Source organism: Homo sapiens, chromosome 11 (genome assembly GCF_000001405.40).
Source record: "Homo sapiens chromosome 11, GRCh38.p14 Primary Assembly".
NCBI classification, from domain to species: Eukaryota; Metazoa; Chordata; class Mammalia; order Primates; family Hominidae; genus Homo; species Homo sapiens.
In genome coordinates, this window is record NC_000011.10 from 93576101 (window position 1) to 93583743 (window position 7643).

Here is a 7643-nt window from a genome sequence, read left to right on the forward strand (position 1 = left end):
CTTTCCAACAAGTATTTGTTGAAGGAAGGAATCTGTATCTCAACCTATGGACAAAAGGCAGCCAATGGAAGAATTTCATTAAGGGAGTATGAATAGAAGTGGTGAGAAGGAAGATGTTGGCTGGATTGAGTAGGGGAGGGGAGCAAGACCAGAGGTTCTCAGACTGGTACAGTGGAGAGGAGCTGGGGACCTAAACTAATACTGAGCAGTTGAGAGGGTGACAAGAGAAACTCACTGGAGATAAATGTTTGAAGTCGAGTGAGCAGATTTCATAATTCATTAGTTGTAGGGAGTAACAAAAAGGAGGAAGTGGAAAACATTTTAAAATCCCAGTTGGCCAGATAAATCAATTTTATAAAGATATACTTTACATAAAATAAAAATGCACCTATTTTAAGTATACAGTTCAGTAAGATTGGGCAAATGCATATATTCATGTAAGCACAACCAAGATATAGAATATTTCCATCATCCAAAAAGTTATCCTAGGACTTCTATAGTGAGTAAACCACTCTCTGACTCTGCCAAATCCAGATAGCCACGAATGTGTTTTCTGTCATTATAACTTAGTTTTTTTCTTTTCTGAAATTTCATAAAAATTTCATAAAAGTAGAATTGTACAGTGTGAACCCTTTTGTCTGCCTTCATGTTAAAATATTGTGTCTGCATAATATTTTTGAAATTCATCAATTTTTTGGTCTTTATAAGTAGTTTGTGCCTTTGTATTGCCAAGTAATGTTCCCTTTTGTGGATATACCATGTTTAATTTATTTATTCACCTGCTGATGGATGTTTGAGTTGGTTCCAATATGGGGCTATTACAAATAAAGCTGCTATGAAGCTGGGTGTGGTGGCTCATGCCTGTAATCCCAGCACTTTGCGAGGCCGAGTCAGGCAGATCAATTGAGGCCAGGAGTTGGAGACCAGCCTGGCCAACATGGTGAAATCACATCTCTACTAAAAATAGAAAAATTAGCCAGACATAGTGCTGCATGCCTGTAATCCCAGCTACTCTGGAGGCTGAGTCATAAGAGTCGCTTGAACCCAGGAGGCGGAGGTTGCAGTAAGCTGAGATCACACCACTGCACTCCAGCATGGGAGACAGAGCAAGACCTTGCCTCAAAATAAATAAATAAATGAAGCTGCTATGAACATTTATGTACAAGTCTTTGCGTGGACATATGTTTTTATTTCTCATGAGGGAAATAGCTAGGAGTGAAATTGCTAAAGCACATGGTAAGTGTGAAGTGAACTGTACAAGAAACCGTCAATCAGTCTCCAAAGTGGCTGTACCATTTTATATTCCCATCAGCAATACAGGCAAGCTCCAGTTGCTCCATATCATTGCCAACACTTGCTTGTCAGTCTTTTAAATTTTAGACATTCTTGTGGGTGTATAATGGTGTCTCATTGTGAATTTAATTTTTATTTGTCTGATGACTAATGGTGTTGAGCATCTATTCATGTGCTTGTCCATTTGTACATATTCTTTTAAAAATTGTCTATTCAGGCTGGGTGCAGTGGCTCATGCCTGTAATTCCAGAGTTTTGGGAGGCTAATGTGGGAAGACAGCTTGCAACCAGAAGTTTGAGACCAGCCCGGTAACATAACAACACCCTGTCTCTAGGAAAAAAAAAAATTATCTTAATGTGATGGCATATGCCTGTAGTCCCAGCTTTGTTTTTGGGAGGCTGAGGAGGGAAGATCACTTGATCCTAAGAGTTTGAGGCTGCAATGTGCTATGATCATGCCACTGCACTCCAGCCTGGGTGACAAAGTGAGACCCTGTCTCTAAAAAAGAAAAAAAATGTCTATTTAATCTTGGTTGAACTCTATTCAACTCTTGGTTGGAAGAGTTCTTTATATATTTCAGGAGACTGGGAAGGTAGAGAACACATCAAAGTGAGCTGGGGAGCAGTGGAGAAAGAGCAGCTTTAAAAGGTTGGAGAAGGAGGCAGGAAGTACATACAAGACTTTTTTTTTTTTTTTTTTTTTGAGATAGAGTTTCACTCTTGTCGCCCAGGCTGGAATGCAATGGCACGATCTCAGCTTACTGCAACTTCCGCCTCCTGAGCTCAAGCAATTCTCCCGCCTCAGCCTCCCAAGTAGCTGGGATTACAGGTGCCCACCACCATACCCGGCTAATTTTTGTACTTTTAGTAGACATGGGGTTTCGCCATGTTGGCCAGGTTGGTCTCGAACTCTTGACTCCAAGTGAACCACCCGCCTCGGCCTCCCAAAATGCTGGGATTACAGGCATGAGCCACCGCACCAGGCCATACAAGACATGTTGGTCGAGGTGCAGGAAGAAAGCTGGAAATGTGTTCTGAAGCCCATGAAAGGGTGATCTGCAAAGAGACTGAGTTTCAAGATAACAGAATCTTATCTAAGTGTCAACTGCCACAAAAAGGTCGAGTAAAATAAAGACAAAAAAAGTGGACTTCAACAGTGGTTTTTAAACTGTGGGCAACAGCCTGTTAGAAACCAATTTAGTAGAGTCTGACCAGTATTTCTTTTAAAAAAATTAAATAGAATAGAAAAGTGTATTGCAGGTACTAAGGTTAAGTGTAGTTCCATGAAATTTTTCTCTGTTATATATGTGTATTGTGTTCTGGGTCACAGAGTAAGATATATCTTTAACTTTGGGTTATGGTAAAAGAAAATCTTGGAAGAAGAAAGGAGGCTACTGATGTCCATCCCAACATTATCCTAGAATAGGGCAGTGGCTAATAATTTGGACCCAGATCTGGCTTCAAGCCCAGGCTTCCTCCCCTTTGTTAGATGTGTGATCTTGAATAAGTTACGGAAACTCTCTAATTCTCACTTTCACTTTTCTTAAATACAAGTTGGGAATAATGATAATGTTTACCTCGAAGAGCCGTTAACAGAGCTGCTTTTGGGCACACTGGAGCCCAGTGCCTCCCTCTCAGGACAGATACAACCTGAGCAAGGGGCTCAGCTGAACCAATGAAGTCTGGATTAGATTTTAGCCCTGGCCCCTCTGCTGGGATGCTAGTGTGAAAGCAAACTACACAAGCTTCTGCTCTTATCAGGGTTAAATGGGATTATGCTTGCAAAATATTCTGTATGATGTCCAGAACAGGGCAAGCTCTCCCATAACCATGGGCTGTCATCATTACTGATTGTTACCCTTGTTAGAGAAGATGCCAAATCTCAATAGATTAAGGATATGGAGATATTGCATAGAATCTATCCTTAAAACAATCTAAATTTGGTGGAAACAACCTAAATATCCATTAACTGATCAACAAAATATGGTATATCCATATAATGGAATACTATCCAGTCATAAAAAAGAATGGAGAACTGATGTGTGTTACAAAGTGGATAAACCTAAGTGAAAGAAGCTAGTCACAAAAGGTCACATACTGAATATAAAATATTCAGAATATGCAAATCCATAGAGACAACAAGTGGATTAGTCATTGCTAGGGGCTGAGTGGGAGGAGGGAAGGGGAGTGGCTGCTTAACTGATGCGGGTTTCTTTACGGGTAGATGGAAATGTTCTGAAGCTGCATAGTGGTGATGGTTTTACAACACTGTGAATGTACTAAATGCCACTAAATTGCACACTTTTAACTGGTTTAAGTGGTAAATTGTATGTGTATTTTACAACTTTTTTTAAAAGCCCCATTCAACTTAAGGATGCTTCACCACTGCCCTTTCATCATTTTCCCAAGCTATCTCAAAGAAAAGAGTTTGCTTGGGAGCACAATGGAAAAGATTAGCTCGAGAGAGTGGTAGAGCTGAGGGAAGGTTTTCCTGAGAATGGGCAGAAAAGAGCAGGTTTGGAAGGAAGGGAGCCGGGGGAATGGAAAGTGACAGAGGAAGAGGGGAACAACACACTGTAGTCTCCCCTGCTGCACTTTGATGCAGCTCTGAAGGCTTCTTAAGGACCTGTGTTACCTGCTGGAAGGTTCTTGGGGCCACCGCAGCACAATCTCTTTGTTAGAAGGACCCTGAAGCAGTGGGGTGAACACAGATGGGCCCCTCCTCCCCTCCTTAGATGTGGCATGTATACTGTTGCTGTTCCTAAGGGAGAAATAATTGGACAGATAATTAATAATAATAATACCTCATGACTGCCTCTCTGGCAGGTGCTTAGCTATAGCCCCAGGAGCTTGGTAGCTGAATAATCCTCTATTATAAATTGATTTCTCAGTGAATAGTATTATTGGTATTAATAATTAGAGCCAATTTACTATTACATACACTATTGAGGGGAGCAACAATGTGTGTAATCTGCAGCACAAGATGACTTTTTAAATGCTTTGCATTGTGTCACGGGTATTTGGCTGTCCTTCAATATATTTACTTTCTTGATTATGTCTGACTTGGGATAATTTGAAAGTCACTTTGCATTCCCAGAGGAGGGCCATGCAAGTATCACTCTCCTGGTTTCTTTCCTTCCTGCAAACATGCTTAGCTCTCCCCATTCTAATAAATGTTGACCTTAAACTAAAAACCAGCTTTTAAAAATTCTATAAATAATATAATTGAGAGCAAGATATATTAGAATGATGGTAGCAGTAATTAATGAGTCTCAGTCTAATCTGCCTTAAAACATTTGGGCAATGTTTACTAGTCAATAACATTTAAATCTCCTTGATAGTCGTTCATCCAATAAACAAATTTTGAGGGCCATATAGCGGGTGCAGAAGATACAGAAATAAATAAGATCATTGCTCTCAAGGAACCACTGCTCTAGCAGAGGAAACAGATGTAGAAACAAATCTTTCCTCTCAAATTTAATAAATATAAGGAAAAAGCAATCAACTCAGCCTGGAATCAAGGCCTTCAGTGAGGATATACATGAGAGCTATCTAAAAATACTACCTCATGTAGCTATAAAATATTTGATTTTTTCCACTTAAGCATATTTATTTATTTTTCATTTCATATAATTTCAACTTTTATTTTAGATTCAGGGGCAAATGTGCAGAATTGTTACATAGATATATTGTGTGATGCTGAGGTTTGGGGTATGAATGATCCCATCACCCATGTAGTGAGCATAGTACCCAATAGGTAGTTTTGCAACCCTTGCCCTCTTCAACCTCTCCCCTCTTTTAGCCTCCAGTGTCTATTATTGCCCTCTTTATGTCTATGAGTACCCAATGTTTAGCACCCACTTATAAGTGAGAACACACAGTATTTGGTTTTCTGTTCCTTTGGATTATGGCATCCAGATGCATCCATGTTGCTGCCAAAGGCATTAGTTTGTTCTTTCTTTTTATGGCTGCATAGTATTCTATGGTGTATATGTACCACATTTTCTTTATCCAGTCCATCTTGGATGGACACCTGGGTTCATTCCATGTGTTTACTATTGTGAATAGTACTGCAATGAACATACAAGTACATGCGTCTTTTGGTAGAATGACTTATTTTCCTTAGAGTATATATCTAGTAATGGGATTTCTGAGTTGAATGGTAGTTCTGTTTTAAGTTCTTTGAGAAATCTCCAAACTGCTTTCCACATTGGCTGGATTAATTTACATTCCTTCACAGTGTATAAGTGTTCTCTTTTACCTGCAGCTTCACCAGCTTCTGTCGTTTATGACGTTTTAATAATGGCCATTCTGACTGGTGTGAGATGGTATCTCATTTTGGTTTTGATTTGCATTTCTCTGATGATCAGTGATGTTGAGCATTTTTTCATGTTTGTTAGCTGCCTGCATGTCTTCTTTGAGAAGTTCCCGTCTTTTGCCCACTCTTTAACGGGGTTATTTGTTTTTCGCTTGTTGAATTGCTTAAGTTCTGTATAGATTATGGGTATTAGATCTTTGACAGATGTGTAGTTTGTGAATATTTTCTCCCATTCTGTAGGGTTTCTGTTTCCTCTGATGATAGTTTCTTTTGCTGTGCAGAAACTCTTTAGTTTCATTAAATCCCACTTGTGAATTTTTGCTTCTGTTGCAATTACTTTTGAGGATTTCGTCGTAAGTTCTTTCCCAAGGCCAATGTCCACAGGGTCTTTCTGAGGTTTTCTTCTAGATTCTTGAAGTTTGAGGTCTTACATTTAAATCTTTAATTCATCTTTTCTTTTTTTTTTTTTTTTTGAGACAGAGTCTTGCACTGTTTCCCAGGCTGGAGTGCAGCGGCTGATCTCGGCTCACTGCAAGCTCCGCCTCCTGGGTTCATGCCATTCTCCTGGCTCAGCCTCCCAAGTAGTTGGGACTACAGGCACCCGCCACCACGCCTGGCTAATTTTTTATACTTTTAGTAGAGACAGGGTTTCACCGTGTTAGCCAGGTTGGTCTCAATCTCCTCACCTCGTGATCCGCCTGCCTCGGCCTCCCAAAGCGCTGGGATTACAGGCATGAGCCACCACGCCCGGCCAATTCATCTTTTGTATATGATGAAAGCTAGGGGTTCAGTTTCATTCTTCTACATACATCCAGCCAGCTATACCAGCATTATTTATTGAATGGGGAGTCCCTTCCACATTGCCTATTTTTGTCATCTTTAATGATGATCACGTGGCTGTAGGTATATGGCTTTATTTCTGGGTTCTCTATCCTGTTCCAGTGACCTATGTGTCTGTTTTTGTAACAGTACCAAGCTGTTTCAGTTACTGTAGCCTTATAGTATAGTTTGAAGTTAGGCAGTGTGATGCTTCTGGCTTTGTTCCTTTTGCTTAAGATTGCTTTGGCTATTTGGGCTATTTTTCTGGTTCCATATGAGTTTTAGAATAGTTTTTTCTAGTTCTGTCAAAAATGGCATTGATAGTTTGATAGGAATGACATTGAATCTATAGATTGCTTTGGGCAGTATGGCCATTTTAATGATATCAATTCTTCCAATCCATGAGCATGAAATGTTTTTTCATTTGTTTATGTCATCTACAATTTCTTTCAGCAGTGTTTTGTAACTTTTGTAGAAACCTTTCACCTCCTTGGTTAGATGTACTCCCAGGTATTTGTGCATGTGTGTGTGGCTATTGTAAATGGGATCGTGTTCTTGATTTGGCTCTCGGCTTGAACATCATTTCTGTATAGAAATGCTACTGAGTTTTGTACATTGATTTTTGTATCCTGAAACTTTACTGAAGTCAGTTCCAGAAGCCTTCTGTCAGAGTCTTCAGGGTTTTCTAGGTAGCCAATCATATCATCAGTGAAGAGATATTTTGAGTTCTTCTTTTCCTATTTGATGCCTTTTATTTCTTTCTCTTGATTTCTCTGGTTAGGACTTCCAAGATATTTTATTCATGTATGTAGAGCCAACCCAATCAAAGATTATAATTAACCTATTTTTAGTGCACCTCAGACTTTACCTGTTTAAACTATTATTAACATTTTTTTATTTATTATTATTACTTATATTGCACTATTATTGTCACCTTTATTGACATGTGCTAGCATCTTTCATCAACCTAAAGGAATTTCATAGCTGAAAAAGCCTAACTGCTTATGCTGTGCTAGCAAATGTCTCAGGCCAAAGTTCATAAATAGGAGTTTCTGACCATCTGCAAGAAGACTGATGATCACACCCAGACTTCAGCTGTGGGCTAAAGCAGATCATCTGCTGGACTGTCAATGTCATTGTGGTGTGTGACACTTGGCCTTGGCTGATTTACTGCCTTTCTTTGTAATCAACCTATCTCTGCAGTACAGTCCAGA